This window comes from Homo sapiens, chromosome 2, assembly GCF_000001405.40.
Source record: "Homo sapiens chromosome 2, GRCh38.p14 Primary Assembly".
NCBI lineage: Eukaryota > Metazoa > Chordata > Mammalia > Primates > Hominidae > Homo > Homo sapiens.
In genome coordinates, this window is record NC_000002.12 from 96286042 (window position 1) to 96303961 (window position 17920).

Below are 17920 nucleotides of genomic sequence, written 5' to 3' on the forward strand. Positions count from 1 at the left end.
AGGGGCAGGCCTCTAAGCCTCCTGGGCCCGAGAAATGACCATGCCATGTAAGGCCTTGCTCTATTGCCCCTCCACAGTGACACATGCAGAGCAGCAAAGCAACCAAAGGCTTCTGACAAAGGAAAAAGTCCTGGTGGGTCCCAGCGGTCACACTGAGGAGCTCCCAGACCTCCCAAGTGCCTGAGCACCCCCACTCCCCTGCCTGCCACAGAGCACATCTGTCTCCCGGTGACTTCAAAAGCCTCCAGAGGAGGGATGGAAACACTTACCCTGGGTCTGGATGGGATTGAAGAAAGGAAATTTATCTTGGTAAAGACTCTCAAAGGCACTGTTTCTCAGAGCAGACACGGGCAAGGGCTGCAGGTCCAAAAGTTCGGTTGGAGGGGGGTACTTCTCCGGCAAGATCAGGTGCCGGAAGGAGACAGGCAGCTGGGTCTCACAAGCTGCCAGAAAAGAAACAGGAAGGATATAAGCACTGCTCTCTTTCCCTCACTGGCCTCTAGATCCCCTCCATGAACACTGGAAACCTAGGCAGCATATGTATCACTCTGTCCCCAGCAAGGGCAAGCCCGGGACAAAGTGCAAGACATTCTTCTACTGTCCTTGGAGGGACTGTTCCTGGGGACTCTGGAGAGGAGACACTCACAGAGCCAGCGGTCAGACACCACTCGGATGAAGTACTGAGGGGGCAGCGGTTCAAAGACAGGCACGAAGAATGTAATGAGGTGCTCGTCCTGGGCGTACTTGGCCTTGAGGAGAAAATACTCATGGTGCAGAATCACCTCGCTGTCCACATCCTCCACCAGAATCCAAAAAGCCTCGGATGAACCATGCACCTGCCAACAGGAGCAAGGGTAAAAGGAATGTGAGTCAACGTAGACTGAGTGCCTCCAATCCATCTCCTCGGCCCAGCAACGTAGACTGAGCACCTCCAATCCAGCACCTCTGCCCAGCAAAGCCTCACCTTTTCATCCCACTGGAAGTCTGGCGTGATGGTCAGCTCCACCTTCAGGGTGGAGCGTGTGATAGGCTGCAGGTGCACTGACAACTCCAACTTGGGAAACAGATGGACATATTTGTGGATGGTCTTCCCCATCTTTGGCATGCGGATAAGCTCCCCTACAAGGAAATGAGAGTACTGAGGCTGCAGCCCAGCCTGCCTACTATACTGCAAACTGGGCCTGAGGGCCACTGTGGGAAAGGGGTAGGGTCTTCCCTTTATGGTCAGTGGAGCCCAGGATTCCAAGTCCCCAGACCAAGGGCCAGCCTGTACTTCAGTGGGACTTGGGGAGTGAACACAGGATACTAATGCACAGGCCTAGGAACAGGAAGACTACATAGGCAAACTGGGAGAGACACCCAGGCAGTGAGGACAAGGGCGAGAGCATCCCACACACCAATCTCATTATGATTCAGGTCGTACAGACGCTCAAAGGGGAAATTCTTCTTCTCAATCTTCTTCACTACTTCCTCAGGGAGTTTCCGGAACTGGCGCAGAGGACACATGGACTGCCACCTATCCAGGAAGGAGGCAAAGCTGTTGGTCCCTTCTGCAGGGATGTGACAAACCACCCACTTCATGGCTTCCAATAGTTTAGCAGTGACTACACAAAACACAGTCATTAAAGGCAGACACTGACACTGTGCCAGCCCTGGCCTCCACCACAGAGGGCCTTCCCTCTTCTCAATGTGCACCAAGGTTCAGGTCATACTTCCGATGTCAGGTCTGGAGATCAGATGCACCCTGAGGCTTTCCCATCAGACCCTTGGGTTGGGGACCCCCACTCATGGTGACCAGCATCCAGCTCACTGGGTCCTTACATGCGTTTGTCGATCATCTTGCAGAGGTTCAGGGTCTTGTCTGTAAGCTGTGCCCAACCTCGGTTCAGGACAATTTCAAATATCGCTCGCATCAACCGGCCAGCCGACTAAGCAAAGAAGCAGCATTCCCACTGTTAAGTCTCGACTATCCCCAGGCCTCATGAGCCACTCTACACACGGTTTCATTACCTCCAGCTCTGACACAACCACCCACCCTAACTCAAAGGCAAAGTCCCCTCTGTCTTTACGCCTTTCTCCGTTCCATATAGTAGATGCTTGCCGGATGGGGAACAATTAGAAGAGTGCTGCGGCTCAAGGTCACTGCACAACATTTTAACCTAACATTCACTGCATGATTTTAAAGCTTTTGAGTCATTTAGCATTTAGAGTTCTAGGAAGAGTTGAGGGTACCAGTGACCTGTTCTTAGAGGTAAAGATGAAGAGCAGCTAATAAAACCCTGTGCCATTTTTGGATTTATTTATGAGCTGTGCAGCAACAGTGGGAAATCACTTTGCTGCTGGGAAGCAGACACTGCGTGCTGTGGCTCTTCCTGTCTCTCTGAGGGCCCGTGGAGCCTCGAAGCATTCCCTCTTAAGGTCTTACCTTTCCCACGTGCTCAAGATGTATACTACAGAGTGGCTGTACCACACATGCACCAACCAACTACCCGGCAAGAGCAGAACTAAGCACTCCTCCCATCTCACTAGGGTCGGGCCTCCTTTCCCCAGGATGCACACAGCACACAGGGATTGAACTGTTCAGGCCCCTTCTCACAGCTGCCATACAACTCCGCTCTCACCTGTGTGACATACACCATGTCAGCCATCAGTGCAAAGCCCTCCAATTTCAGCTGTGAGATGAAGGCTTGCAGAAGAACGTTGATCTGTAAAGAAGCAAAATCAGCCAGCAGGAGACCAATCACTGAACAGTCCAAGAAAGGGAATTACATTTCTGCTCTGAGCATCCAGGCCAGGTGAGATTTGCTACAGGTCTTGATTTACAAATACTAAATAATTGTTATTTCATATAAAAAGAACATGCGAGAAGGCTGCAAAAACTAGGAGAACTGAGCAGGAAACCACACATGAACCCAAATTCAAGGTTCATCTTTTAGAAGATTATGAAAACCACTTAATCCTCATCCTTATCAAAGCAAAGAGGAGAGGAGCTCACCTTAGCACTGGGTTCCTCAATGCTCTCCTTTACAGGGATAGGCACCCTCTCCAGCAACTTCTGCAGCTCCAGCTTCTCCTCCTGCCACAAGGAGGAAAAGGTCAAGGGAAAGCCTTGTGGCCGAGGAGGGACACCATTCAGTGACTTGGTGAGCACCAACTCCCCGCCCCATCATGCTGCATAGGCTCACCTCTCTCACTGTGATGTTCTTGAACTCAGAGGACAATGAGAAGACCCTGAAAAGCTCAATCTCACTCAGGGTGGGCTTCAGCAGCTGGTTGTAAGTCTGCACTGTATCATTGGTGATGTAGTAGTGGCTGGCTATACGGCCCAGTTCTGTCACCTGGAGAGAAGGTAGACTCAATCCAGTGCTGACTATTAATGAGCTCCAACCTCTAACTGTGGACCATAAGTTACTGTCCTATAGGTTTTTTGTACTTTTTTTTTGGTAAAGTATATGACCCAATGTCATTATTGTCCTAATAGGACAACTGGATGAAGTCACAGCAGTACAAGTGCCAGGCCCAGGCACATGAAGAAAAACAGCAGAATAAGCTGACCCATAGTGAAATGATGTCTGCACGGACAAGACAGCTGAATTATCCACCTCAAGTTATGGGAAAAGCTACCCATTTTTCTGCTGTTCTAAGCAACAGGTGATTAGATAGGCAGTACTCACATCAAGAGAGCAATCTGAAAAATTTTTTCCTGGGCCAACAACTTTTGCTGAGACCTTTGCCTCAAAACCCTCACCCCACGCACCTGGAAGTTGCCCGTCTTCTTGTCGTACTTGACCAGATTGTTCTTGTCCAGCATCAGGGCAGCTGTATGAACCAGATCTAGTCGGCGCTGGTCCAGCAGGGGATCTCCCTTGAGGTCATCATGAGAGATGCCATAGAGGGTTGGGGATCGCAGCATTCGGATATAGAGGTAGGCATAGCCCAGCCAGTTCACCGCATCCTACAAGACACAGCTCATGGTTCTTAGCATGGAGAAACTCTTGATGTCCAAATGACAGGCTCCCATGAATTGCTTAGAAATTAATTCCCAACTACAAGGATGCATATTACATCGTATTCTGAATGTTTTTAGCATTTCATTATTAAAAAGATCTAAGCGTCTTCTAAGATCTTGGTAACAAGGGGAACTATCTGCCAGACCCAAGATGTGGGTGCAGGGATGGAAGGCCTCGGACGCTGCTGGCCCGCAGCACAATAGGGACCGACCCACTCCTGGTGCCTTGGTGTCTGCGGGGAAAGCATGAAGCACAACAAGCAGTCCTCCCCTACCTTGGCATTCTGGACATTTCCTAGCACGATTTCTGCATTGAGCATGTCAGGAAGCTTTGAAACCATCTGGCTTTCAATAGGAAGTTGTTGATTGAGGAGGGACAGGTAGTACTGTAGCTCCCCATGAGATGTGATGAGTATGCCTTCACCCTTGGTGTCATACTGGGGTCTTCCGGCACGTCCCAGCATCTAGATCAGAGACAGCGAACCAAGAATGCTATGTCAAGAGAATGTCTGAATTTTGATGCAGGTATCTACATTACAGAACTAGACCTCTGATCTGCTAGCTTTCCAGCATCCCTGCATTTCAGGCAAGGATACTGATCCCTGCTGAGAATAAACTCAAAAGGCTCTGTACCTGCAGAATGTCCAGTGCTCCCAGTTCTGTCCAACGCCCCTTCTCTGGACTGTACACCTGGGTGCCTTTGATGATGACTGTATGTGCAGGGAGATTCACACCCCAAGCTAGAGTTGCTGTGGAAACTAAAACCTACAGAGGCAAAACAAGGTAATGAGGAGAACAGATGCCATCACCAGGGGTTAATATCCCTGGCTTCTCTAGGCAGTTGGCCTCAGAGCTTCTCTCAGGACTAGCCGGTAGGGCGCGTGGGGTCCCAGTACTTGTCAATGTGACACCAGAATAAAGAGGAAAGGTTTCCTTGGGTTCCTCATCTATTCAGTAATGAACATTTCAAGGTTCCAGAGGCACAAGTGCAGACTTGTATTAAACAACCTTAAAGTTACTAGAAAAGGTAAAACAGAGCCTATCCGGAAAGAGGGAACGACAAGGGCACGCGTGCCCCCATGAGACACTGTTTGGAGCTATCTGAAGTCACCAAAGTGCTTGCTTCACTATGCTTCTCAGACTATCCTAAACTCAAGCAAGGTGGGAAGAGTTGGGAGAGTAGCATAAGGTTCTATTTATTGTGTCCACCACAACCCTCTGACCTGGGCTAGCTGGGCCAGAAGCAATAAAGTACCAGGAGCAAACATGGCACAAACTTGACATTGCCCATCTTCTGAAGTATGTCCCACCTGCTCCTCCAAACGCTTTGCACCCCCTCACCTGAATATGTTTATCAGCAAAAAGATCCTCCACGAGTGTTCGGTCAACCCTGGTCATGCCTGCGTGATGAATAGCAAAGCCATAAGGCAGAAGATCCTTCAGCTCTAGGTTCTGTGGAACAAAGAACCGGGGATGAGGCGAGCCTTCCTGTAGGACTCATCCAAGGACTAAGGAAATCTCCTCCCATGAGACCCTGCCCCTTAACTATTATGTGGAATAGTAATAATCACATCCAGACAATCAACCTTAACCCATGGGAAACAACAATACCACAGTACAGTCCTAGAGGAGCTGTCTGGGGCCTGAGATGGACACAGCTGCCAGGTAGGAATGAGAGAACCCAGCTGGCCCCTCCTCACCTTGCACTGCTCAGCTTCTGTTCGCAGGACTTCTGTGGAGGCTGAGCCCTCCCTCAGAAACAGACCCAGAGTGTCCTTTTCTAGGCACATGTCCCGGATGGCCCTGGCTGTCTTTCCAGTCTCCTTCCGGGAGTGGACAAACACCAGCACCTAAGGAGAAGCCACAGTTTGCTACAGTCACGAGATACTCACAGCCCCAGGGCACCTGCAGCAGGAAGCAGAAGTTGCACCATCACCACCAGAAGCCAAGGTCCTGGAGAGGGGCAAGGGCAGGAATGTGTGCAGGCTCAGAGGAAGCCTAAACACGGCTGGAAAGACTTTTAAGGGAATGCACCCACCAAGTTCACAGTCCTGGAGCTGAGAAATTAAACCAACTTCAACATCCTATCTTGAACAGCAACTTTAAATAGACTACAACTACAAATTCGGGCCTCTCAACTCAGAATTTATGTTCAAGCACCTAACAAGAGTCAAAGCTGCATGAAAATGTGTCTGCAAAATAACAACTAAAACATTACACTACTTATAAAAGGATTTAGGAAATAAGTCTGAGACTAGTACACTGTTGTAGGGAATGAAGTCTTCCTAGTATTTAGTGCCAAGAAAAGATCTGTCTCTTCATATAAATTCATATGCTTCTTTTCATCAGACAAAAAGAAATACAAAACCAGTCACTTTTCCTTATTTTTTGTTAGTTAACATTGCTCAACTCGACTTTCAATTTAAAAATTCTATCACACTGTCTAGTAAAATGCCCTCTAGTTTTTCATTTTCCTCTTTTTATTGTCTTGCATTTTTAGTGTAAGTGACCCCAAATCTTTTATGGAGGGACCCTGGATAATGCGAATGCACAAAACAATTATCTGGGACTGGGGATTGCTTGCTGGGGGGATTTTTAATTCTCCAACTCTCTAATAGTTGTAGGGCTCTTCATGTTATCTATTTCATCTGGGCTGAGTTTTGCTAGTTAACTGGTAGTTGTTGGAGAACTGGTCCATTTCTTCTGAATTTTTAAAGTTATGAGCATAAAATTACTCATAGTATTCCCTTATTATCCTTCCAGTGGCTATAGGTTCTGTAGTAATATCCCATTTCATAGCTGATATTGGTGATTTATGTTGTGTCTTCTCTCTTTTAATTTCTGTCAATCTTCCCCAATTATTGGTGAATCAAACATTCGAAAGAATGGGGTTCAAGAGTAACCATAAACCACGGGCAAACCTGATTTTTTCCAGCATGTTCCATGATTTTTTCATAGACGATTTCATTCATGATCTGGAAACGCTTGATAGCTTTTTTCTCTGTGATACCCACATATGTCTGTTCCAGAGGCACTGGACGGAAGCTAGAAGTTCAACAGTTAGACAAATGAGGCTTTGGCAGAAAATACTGTGGGAATAAACAGTCTTTTTCACTGCCCCAAGAGCAATATTCCTCCTTTATGATTCACACCACATCAAAACCCAAAGGCCCTTCTAAAACCCAACCCAGTAGCACTCCTTGGAAAAGAGGAAAGAGAGCAGGATGGTCACCTTGGCAGAACTTTGCCCAGTCTTTCCTGATACCTGTTGTCAAAGTAAAAGAGACCCTTGGCAGGGTCAACACGTAGAAAGGTGGCTACATCTTCATAGTTGGGTAGGGTGGCACTGAGACCAATGAGTCGGACATCCTCTTGGGTCATCTCAATGTTTCGGATGGCCCTGGCCACTAAAGCTTCTAAGACAGGACCTCTGTCATCGTGGAGAAGATGAATCTCATCCTACGGAATTGGAGGACAGAAATTACCTCTAGCACTAGAGATACATAGTCCCTTTTCCTGGAATTGTCCCATATTGTAGGCATATAACCTAATATGCCTAAGAAAAAAGACAAGGGATCCCAAGCCACAGATGCCCAAAGGATGGAGACAATATTTCCCATGAAATACTCCAGAAAGTAACAGACTCTGACCATGAGTTGCTTTGGTACAGTTCAGTAACATACTTTGTATAAAGAAATTCTGAAACTCAGATAAATGAGTTTAAACTTTACTTAAAGGTAAACTTCTTTATGAAAAAGGATATAAATATGATCTGATCAGAAGCTTCACCTCTGGCAGTTATAGTTCCCAAGAACAAAAGCTATCACACATCAAATGATGAGTTTGAATAGTCTAAAGCAGTGCATCTCAAATTTTATTAAGTATCCCAAAGCCAGGGGATGTTGTTAAAAAGGAGATTGTATTCAGCAGGTGTGGGGTGAGGCCACAAATCCTGCATTTCTAACAAGCTCCTATTCCATGCTGCTGCTGCTATGACCCCAACCATGGATCAGGCTTCAAGTAGCAAAGCTCTAAAGCAGGGACCAGAAATGTTTTTTTTAAAAAGTCAGATGCTCCATCTCAAAAAAAAAAAAAAAAAAAAGCCGGGGGCAGTGGCTCACGCCTGTAATCCCAGCACTTTGGGAGGCTGAGGTAGGTGCATCACCCAAGGCCAGGAGTTCGAGACCAGCCTGGCCATCAGATTGGTGAAACCCCATTTCTACTAAAAATACAAAAAATTAGCTGGGCATGGTGGCGGGCAACTGTAATCCCAGCTACTCGGGAGACTGAGGCAGGAGAACTGCTTGAACCCGGGAGGCGGAGGCTGTAGTGAGCTGAGATTGCATCATCGCACTCCAGCCTGGGCAACAAGAGTGAAACTCCGTCTAAAAAAAAAAAGCCAGACAGTCAGTATTTCAGGCTTTGGCCCACGCAGCCCCTATTGCAAATACTCAGCTCTGCCATTGCAGCCAAAAGCAGCTGTAAACAATACATAAACAAATGGGTGTAACTATGTTCCAACAGAACAAAGCCAGTACCCACAGACTGCCAACCCCTGCTCCAGAACACTGAAAACCAACACGTGAAGTCTCCTTTCTTGCTTTTCCCAGACAACTTAAACTATACTCAGACTTAGTCACTAATCTCTGGAAGTTTCTGTGTATATGGAATACAATATCCTGCTTCCTCACTCATTCCCTCAGAGAATGGATTCTTTTACTTATAAAACCCTAAATGATGTTGGATATGATGGTTTTTTGTCTATCTGTTTACATTTGTTTCAAAATATTTCAGACATAGCTTCTTGGCCTTTTGGCTTAAGATCAAGTGTAGTAAAATATTTCAGACATAAAAAAATATATAAAGAATAACATGGCAGGCTAGGCGCAGTGGCTCACGCTTGTAATCCCAGAACTTTGGGAGGCTGAGGTGGGTAGATCACGAGGTCAGGAGTTCGAGACCAGCCTGGCCAACACAGTGAAACCCAGTCTCTACTAAAAATATAAAAATTAGCTGGGCATGGTGGCAGGCGCCTGTAATTCCAGCTACAGGGGAGGCTGAGGCAGGAGAATTGCTTGAACTCGGGAGGCAGAGGCTGCAGTGAGCCAAGATCGTGCCACTGTACTCAGCCTGGGCGACAGAGCTAGACTCCATCTCAAACAAACAAACAAACAAATAAATAAATAAATAAGATGGCAAACACAAGCTGACAATAGCTGTCATTATAATGTTTTGGATGGCCCTGGCCACCAAAGCTTCTAAGACAGGACCTCTGTCATCGTGGAGAAGATGGATCTCATCCTACGGAATTGGAGGACTAGTCATTACAAAGGCTAGTGCCTACAGAAAAGGCAGCAAAGAAACATTTCGCATGAAAACCCAGCAAACCCGCCCTGACACAACTGGACTCTATATTCTACGACTGCTCCCAACTCACCAGAATGATGAGCCGCACCAGCTGGGTGTAGGTGCGCTCACCACCCTTGCGGGTGATGATGTCCCACTTCTCGGGGGTGCAGACGATGATCTGAGTGGCACTGATCTCTTCTTTGCACAGCTGGTGGTCCCCAGTCAGTTCAGCAACAGTGATGCCATAAGTGGCCAGGCGCTGTGGGAGGAAAACTACATCAGGCAGGAATGCTTGAAGGGGCCTGGACACCATGCTTTCTGTTTGGGCAATTGGAGTGTAGGGCATTGGGAGCAGGTATCAACCCATCAGGTGAATACAAGGCGAATCAGATCTTATGAACATATCTTCCTCAAACAAATCCAAATTTAACTCAGGCAAATAAAGCAGACAAAAGATCTCTGGGGGCCAGGCATGGTGGCTCATGCCTGTAATTCTAGCACTTTCAGAGGCCAACGCAGGCAGAATGCTTGAGCCCAGGAGTTCTAGACCATGGTGAAACCCTGTCTCTACAAAAAATATAAAAATTAGCTAATCTAGTAGTACATGTCTATAATCACAGCTACCAGGGAGGCTGAAGTGGGAGGATCACTTGAACCTGGGAAGTTAAGGCTGCAGTGAGCCATGATTGTGCCATTGCACTCCAGCTTGGGCGACAGCGAGACCCTGTCTCAAAAAAAAAGACCTCTGGGAACTCTGTACACAAGAGGAAGAAATGGCAACTTGTAGATAAGAAGACCTACAATACACCACTAGGTCTATTATCATCCACATCCATTTGATGTTTCATAAACACTTCAATAACACAAATGATACGAACTGCAGAAAATTGCCATGGAGAGGATGAAAGAAAGATGCTAACCCTTGTAAAAGATGGCTCAGGACATTCTTACTTCAGAAACTCTGTACCTGGGTTAAGTTCCATCTTGGAAATGGGGAGAGAAAAATAAAAAATAACAACAATCCCAGGAGGCATGCCAGAGATGCCCTAATACAAGAAGCGGTGAGGTCCAGGCCTGTCCACAACACTTTCATAGGTGCACCCAGTATCCTCTGCAGGAAAGTTCTACTCCCTCACCTTTCCAAAGCTGCCCACCATCTCCTGCACCAAGGAGCGCATGGGGGCAATGTAGATAATCTTGAAGTCATCCACATTGATGGTGCCGTCCATGTTTATGTGTTTCCCAATCTCTCGGAGCATGCACATCAGGGCCACGTTGGTCTTCCCAGCACCCTACGGGAGAGGTCAGGGATGAGAACGCCTATTCACCTGGTTATTCTCACTGCCCTAACTTCCATGGGCTTATTTCCCAAATAGAGAATAGAGCTTGTCCTGGGCACTTTATCCTACTATTTAACCTCTCTTCCATCAAAGGACAAAGAATTAGGGGGTGGGGGTGGAAATAAAAAACAATCTTGCAACGGAAACTCCACACCATATTCTACAAGAAAACAGCAGGCAGGGTGGCGCTTACAGTAGGAGCACACAGCAGCAGATTCTCATCCGTCTCAAGGGCAGCACGGTAGAGCTTACTCTGGATCCGATTCAGTGTTTTGAAGCCCTCAAACCCAGCCTGGGCATACTTTGGCAGCTTTTCCACTGGAAGCAGTTGCTAGAAGAAAAGAAGTGCCATCAATATCATGTTGGCAGCATCCTTGAGCAAAACGTTATTGTGGGATTGCCAGGATTTTGTTCCCTGGCAATCTCTTTGCATAACTTTCCATTAAAGGTCAGTCCAGAGATCAATATTGTCCCCTGGGCTCAAAATCAGAATGGGAAAATTCTGTTGCAGCTTTCAGCCCTGAAATAAACTATATATGAAACAAGGCTACATTTTGGTCAATGGTTGAAATCCAAACCAGGAGGTGAACTGAGCAGAGAACTGAAGAAAGCAATTCACTTACTTCTTCTGAGCCAAAGGGCTTGGGCTTCAGAGCAGGCACATGCACCTCTTCATAGCCCTTACGCTGGCGACGGAAGGATCCATCAGGAAGCTGACAGCGTTTATTGGCCATAAAGTGGCTCCCTTGGGTAAAAACCAGGTCCTCCAAGTCCAGAACCTGCCGTGGAGCCAGTGCCTGGGAATGTGAAAGACAAAAACACAAAGGAAGTAAGCAAGCCGAGCAAGTGAGTTTTCCATCCATCAAGGCCTGGGAAATAAATCGCCCTGGATCCTACCTCTCCACCCTGGTCGAGATCCATGGTTTCCAGATCTGTGTCCATTCGAGACTGACGCACTCGCTCTCTCCGGGACCTTTCCTCCTGTAGTGGACAAAGATAAAAATCACAAAAACAATTCATCAGTATCATAGGTTCTTGTCCTTTTCTGCCCCTGCTTAGCTAATACTTGAGTCACAGGTGCTGACTAGTAAGTCGTGAAACAGAAAGACAGTGCTTTACATGGGGACCACCAGAATGATCAAAGCAAACAAACACTTTTAAAGGGGCAATGCGCAGTACAAGGATGCCACAAATACACGTTCTATAATTAAGTACCAAGGGCTACCCCTGAGGGGTCGAAGGGTGGGTTCCATTAAGCAAGTACATGTGTTCTGTTACTCTATTTTAGTAAACACCATGGATTTACTGTGTAAATAAACAATAAAGGTCCCCACAGTGCTGGTGAAAGATAGCAGCAGGTCACTGGTCTCATGACCAAACCAATGTGGATGTGTTGATTCTAACCTGTATGCACTGATAAACCCCAAAGAATTTAGGAAATTACTTTTTCAACTTCCACTTTTAACATGAATTTAGCTTCATGCTGCAATCTTCTAGCCACCGTTAGCTCAGAAATCAGACAGATAAACCAACCCAGTCCTTACTCGGATCAGATCCTCCTTCTCGGTTTCATGAAGCTGGTAGAGGAACTTGGATAGCTCTGGGTCAGCTTCCATCTTTCCCATAATCCTTTCCTTTTCAGCTTCACTTTGTGCACTGGCCAGCAAGGTACAGTATAAAACTACCCACAACAAAAGGAACAAAGGAAGTGAGGAGGAGGAAATAAGGCAAAAAACCATCCTCAGGGTAGAAAGAAGAAAAATAAAAGAAACAAGCACTTAGGCTGTGAAAACAACAGAATCTCTATGTCACACATGCACACATATGTACTCACTCTGCAGGAAGACCCCACCATATACTCACTCATCATCCTGTGCTGCCGCAACACTTTAATGAAATCAAAGGTGTTGAAACCAAGCAGCAGAACCAGCTGATTTTCACATTCCCGATCATCACTGGCCGTCTGCAGAGAGCAGGTAACACCACCATTAAGGCCAAAGCCATCTGCCACTTCATACGCTGTCCCCATGTGCTAAGATACACTAAATATACAACTATTGTCATCTTGGCCATACCTTCAAAATCTCCAATACTTCATCTGCCTTCTTCTGCGACACGATGGCATCATCATAGAAACGACTGAGCTGCCGCTGCAGCCAAAATGCATCAATATCCCGAGGGTGCAAATCCTTCTTCTTGGAACTCATCAGTTCACCTGAGGCTACGAGCTATAAAAGTAACCAGGCATTTAGCTCACCAGGTCTCTGCCAGCCTCGATCACTTTGCCACCACCCTGCAACCAAGTTCTACTTGACAATCCATAGCCCACCTTCTTGTGAGGACTTTCCAGAGGAAAAAACTCTGGAATATTGAGTTCAGAAGCACACCAGACTAAGATTTCATCAACATACATCTTTGGGAAGGAAGAAAACCGACAGAAATTTTAAGAAACTCTAGACACTAAGTGTTTATTATAGTTCACTCCAGCAAAAAGTGGCTCAATAAATGTAACAGGACCTAGGCATGGGGAAGAAGCACTAACACCCAGAAGTAACCTTGTAGCAATGAGGAAGAGCAAACTGAACTTACATTAGCCGAGAGGGTGCAGCGCACGACAGCCTCGTCCCCTTCCATGTCATCATCAGATGCCTCTTCTCGAACCTCCCCGTATACGTCTTCATCACCTTCCTGTGGAAATGACCCCAACTCAACCATGATCTGGAGCTGATCCTGCATCACCACAGAACCTCTCCCTCAAGTCACCCTAAATTAGCTCAATGGGTAGAGAAATGGCTTTGGGGTGAAACCGAGAGCCTATTGGAACCAAGGTCAGCCTTATTCCAGTGGACATAGAATGACTGCTTAGCACGACTTATTAGATATATCTACTTTCTATTTCTCACCTTAGGCTGCTACAATGGCAATCAACTGGATCATAGCCTCTCTCTAATACACACACAATCAACACTCAAAAACAGTGATCAGCTAAGGAGAAAAGAGCTATACAGAGGCATGCCTGGGAAAGCAGGTGGTGACTCCGGAATGAAGAGATCGCACTTAGCCTGCTCACCACTCTATTTACTCATACACTGCACATTAGGCGTACCTGGCATAGTGTCACAGTCAAAACAGGTACTTCAATAATGAGCACTGTTAAATGAATGAACTGCTAAAAGCAAAGCAGTTTGTTGCTACTTAAAATCATCAAATCCTATTAACTATACTGTAGGAAGAGGCTTAGCAATCACCTATTGAAATGGCCTCATTTTATAGAAGGAGAAACTGAAGCAAGATGACCTGCCAAGATACAGGACTCAAACTCAGAAGTCTTGGCTCCTAGTCCTCTGACTCTCCCCGTGCGACCCCTTCTTCCAGCCTTGGTATATATACCGGGGCTCCATTTTCCCTTTCAGGAGCCACTTCTACTCACTGAGAACTCTAAGGCACTGTAATTTTCTCAAAGTACCCCACTTATTCCTATTTAGTTATATTCAAGGAATTCTATTAGACAGTAAACATTAACCCCAGTGACTTAACCATGTACAAACTATGTCTGTGCTCTAGGGCAAATGTGCAATCTTTTAGTCAGATACAGTAATGAAAAATGGGAAAATACTGTAATAAGGTTAAAATGCAGTAAAACATAGCAGATACATTCTCAATGAAAGTATACACTGTACTTTAACTTTTTTCTTTCTTTTTGCTGATCCACTTGGTATATTTTAAATAATTATATTGTGGCCGGGCGCAGTGGCTCACACCCGTAATCCCAGCACTTTGGGAGGCCGACGGGGGGCGGATCACCTGAGGTCAGGAGATCAAGACCACCTTGGCTAACACGGTGAAACCCCGTCTCCACTAAAAATATAAAAAATTAGCCGGGCATGGTGGCGGGCGCCTATAGTCCCAGCTGCTCGGGAGGCTGAGGCAGGAGAATGGCGCGAAACCTGGGAGGCAGAGCTTGCAGTGAGCCGAGATCGCACCACTGCACTCCAGCCTGGGCGACAGAGAAGACTCCGTCTCAAAAAAAAAAAAATTATATTGCTTTACATTTGTTAGTTTAAATTTGCGGTAGCAAAGTTAAAAGATAACTGCACTTTTTTTTAAGCAAAAGAACATATAATGCCCAAGTCTGAAACCCATACAACACCATAAAATTTATCTGGTTTAAACTAGAGAGCTTGTTTACACTAGAAGGGGTCCCTTTACCTTAATCAACGTCAAAAACAAGAATGGACTGGGTATGTTTATCACTCACCTCCTCATCAGACTCAAACTGCACATTCACACCGTATGTCTCATCAATGTTGTCATCTGAAACAATGAAGGATTAGAAAAAGAGGGCAGTGAATGGCTAGTAAAACAAGGCACTCTGGAGCCAATGTCCTCCCCGACTACCTCTCCTCAGGAAAGATCTAAGTGCTAAGGACACATACAGATACTTAGATGATCAACATGAGAGAGCCACCTATGCTGCTCCTGCCAAGACCTTCTCCACCTGCCAGCCTTGGAGTCAGCCCAGCTCTGCTTGCTCAACCACTTGAGCCCCCAAGGCTCTGCCCACATTTTCTCATATTCCACACAATAAAAGGGTCTCAGAGTAAGGAACAGCTGCTGGAATCTAGGGATTCTGGTGTCCATCAATTGTAACTCTTCAAAAAACACAGAACAGATTATGGGAACTCACTGACATTAAGGTTTTTAAATGAATGATGCTAGAAGATGCATGTTTAGGGGTCAACAACAACCAATGAACATGATCAGAACATAAAGCGCGCACTTACCCATATTTTGGATTTCCTTATCTCCACCATAGTCTGTGATCTTTTTGCCCAGGTTCACTAGCACATGGTATCTGGTATCATCTGTTTGACCCAGCAGCAGGTCAATCTCCTTTCGCCTTTCCTTGTCCCGCAGCTTTTCATTCTTTAGAACAGCTAGAACTTCATCAGCTGCCCCACAAAGGATATCACGTGGCTGGTGGCAAGAAACAACCAACCAATATTGAGAACGACGACAGGCAAAACATCTTCAACCAGGTGTATGTGGCGGCAGGATGTGAAGAGCCACACCTCTTCAAAACCTGCCACATACTAGGCTCTGACCTTTCTCATTAATGCTGATGCCACAACTAAAGGAAGACTTGTCTGTTTTTAAAAAGATTAGCTAGGTGGCCTCAAGCAGCAGGACACAGCTTCCACAACAGCTTGCCACACTCCAGGTGGTAGTCACTTGGCAGACCTCCTCTAGCTTGCCACACTTTTGTAATTCTTTGTCCTCACTTCCTCTAGCACCCACCTCAACAGAGCTCCTCAGACTCATAATGGTCCCCAATCTAATCACACATGTGTAATGGTTAGGAACATGGATTCTAGAGATAAACTATCTGGATCATATCTTGGCTCTGCCAAATACTACTTCTGTGACTCGGGAAAATTACTTAACTATTCTTGCCTCACATCTCTCTTCTATAAAATGGAAAATGAATATTAACAGCACCTATTCATGGAGTTATGTAGGGTTGGGGGAAGACACGTGCTGTTCCACACAAATCGAGTGCTCAGTAAATATAAGCCACTTCTGCCAACCAGTACAGCCCACAAGAGGATCCAGAGAAAAGGTTCAGTCTCCCAGCTGTGACCCTCTCCCTTTCTGACACATGGTCTCATCCTCTGGCCACCTCACTCTGAGAATACTGAAATAAAGCAAACTTGTTTTTTTCTATACTCTCACAACAATTAACACAGAAGGCTTCTGTGACAATTCCTCCCCACCAGCAACCAATCCAAAAATTGTGCAGTGGACACAAGCTGGGGGTCCTCAAATTCAATTCCGTTCCAACACTAACTACCTGGAGATAGCGTCAGATCCCACAGACTGAGGACTCAGTCGCACAAGCCTGCCTCCCACTTCATGATGCCAGTCACAAGCACAGGTTGTTTGACCTGTGCTTCTCACTATACAGCTATAAATCGAGGTTTCCACAATCCCCTTTTGGGGTTCAACTAATTTTCTAGAGCAGATCAGGGAAACACTTATTTTTACTATAAGGCATATTACAAAAGATGCCTACCAAAAGACAACAGATGGAAGAGGTACACAGGGCAGGCATGTGGGAATGGGTGTGGCGCTACCAGGCCCTCTCAGGCGCACCACCCTCCAGAAACCTCCATGTGTGCAGCTATCCACAAACTCTCTAAACCTAGTCCTTTTGGGGTTTTTATGGAGGCTTCATTATGTAGGCATGATTGATTAAATGACCAGCCTCCATTCTGAACTACCTAAGTGCTGCCAGCCATCAGTCAACTCATCAGCATACAAAAAGATACTTAGCACTTCGAAGATTCCAAGGATCTTAGAAGCTGTATGCCAGAAAATGAAATAAAGACCTAATATATATTTCACAATATCACACTCACCTGGTCCCCAAGAGCAGCCTGGATGAAGCTGAGTAGCACCTCATAGGTCTCCCGAGTCTCTTTAGTTTTGGGCTTGTAGATGATGCCCACCATCTCATCAATGCCCTCCGACAGCAGAGTATAACCCTTCATCTTGTTGATGTCATGCCGGTCCTCATCACGCTTTCTTCGCCTAATGGACATGCAATGTGATATTGAATGGCAGAACCTTTCGTCCCCAAGGGAAGACTGGATCAAGCCCACCCTCCTCTCCTCAGCTTCATGGCAAGAAGTTAATATCTGAAAACAGGTATCTGAGCCTCAGCAAATGATTCCGTTTGGCCTTAATCACTTGCAGGAGTATTTCTTTATGGGACACAGTGACAAAAAGAAAAATTCCCTATCATCTTCTCACTAGATGCACTAAACATTACAATGAGATGTTTCTCATTTAAAAAATACAACCCTTTGGCCAGGTGCAGTGGTTCACGCCTGTAATCCCAACATTTTGGGAGGCCAAGGCAGGCGGATCACCTGAGGTCAGGAGTTCAAGACCAACCTGGCCAACATGGAGAAACCCTGTATCTACTAAATATACAAAAATTAGCCGGGCACAGTGGCGAGCGCCTGTAATCCCAGCTACTCAGGAGGCTGAGGCAGGAGAATCGCTTGAACCCGGGAGGTGGAGGTTGCCGTGAGAGAGATCACGCCACTGCACTCCAGCCTGGGTGACAGAGTGAGATTCCGTCTCAAAAAAAAAAAAAAAAAAAGTACAACCCTTCATACATTGTATGAGACTATTATATAATAGGATTTTGACTAGT

At 46.1% G+C, this 17920-nt stretch overlaps 1 protein-coding gene across 1 annotated transcript in view; it reads right to left on the reverse strand.

The window, feature by feature from the left end:
• Positions 1 to 17920, reverse strand: part of SNRNP200 (small nuclear ribonucleoprotein U5 subunit 200) — a 31209-nt gene that overhangs the window by 11704 nt on the left and 1585 nt on the right. Inside the window, exons 3-29 of the mRNA NM_014014.5 lie at positions 17118 to 17289; positions 15483 to 15675; positions 14957 to 15012; positions 13288 to 13386; positions 12774 to 12926; positions 12562 to 12661; positions 12243 to 12379; positions 11596 to 11679; positions 11322 to 11495; positions 10892 to 11029; positions 10495 to 10650; positions 9447 to 9617; positions 7275 to 7468; positions 6931 to 7054; positions 5710 to 5859; positions 5351 to 5461; positions 4643 to 4774; positions 4285 to 4473; positions 3758 to 3955; positions 3186 to 3338; positions 2996 to 3076; positions 2622 to 2705; positions 1822 to 1928; positions 1398 to 1516; positions 965 to 1119; positions 647 to 836; positions 270 to 443 (exon numbers count right to left, since the gene is read on the reverse strand). Coding sequence (NP_054733.2) covers positions 270 to 443; positions 647 to 836; positions 965 to 1119; positions 1398 to 1516; positions 1822 to 1928; positions 2622 to 2705; positions 2996 to 3076; positions 3186 to 3338; positions 3758 to 3955; positions 4285 to 4473; positions 4643 to 4774; positions 5351 to 5461; positions 5710 to 5859; positions 6931 to 7054; positions 7275 to 7468; positions 9447 to 9617; positions 10495 to 10650; positions 10892 to 11029; positions 11322 to 11495; positions 11596 to 11679; positions 12243 to 12379; positions 12562 to 12661; positions 12774 to 12926; positions 13288 to 13386; positions 14957 to 15012; positions 15483 to 15675; positions 17118 to 17289 — 3794 coding nt within the window. The remainder of the gene's footprint in view (positions 1 to 269; positions 444 to 646; positions 837 to 964; positions 1120 to 1397; positions 1517 to 1821; positions 1929 to 2621; positions 2706 to 2995; positions 3077 to 3185; positions 3339 to 3757; positions 3956 to 4284; positions 4474 to 4642; positions 4775 to 5350; positions 5462 to 5709; positions 5860 to 6930; positions 7055 to 7274; positions 7469 to 9446; positions 9618 to 10494; positions 10651 to 10891; positions 11030 to 11321; positions 11496 to 11595; positions 11680 to 12242; positions 12380 to 12561; positions 12662 to 12773; positions 12927 to 13287; positions 13387 to 14956; positions 15013 to 15482; positions 15676 to 17117; positions 17290 to 17920) is intronic.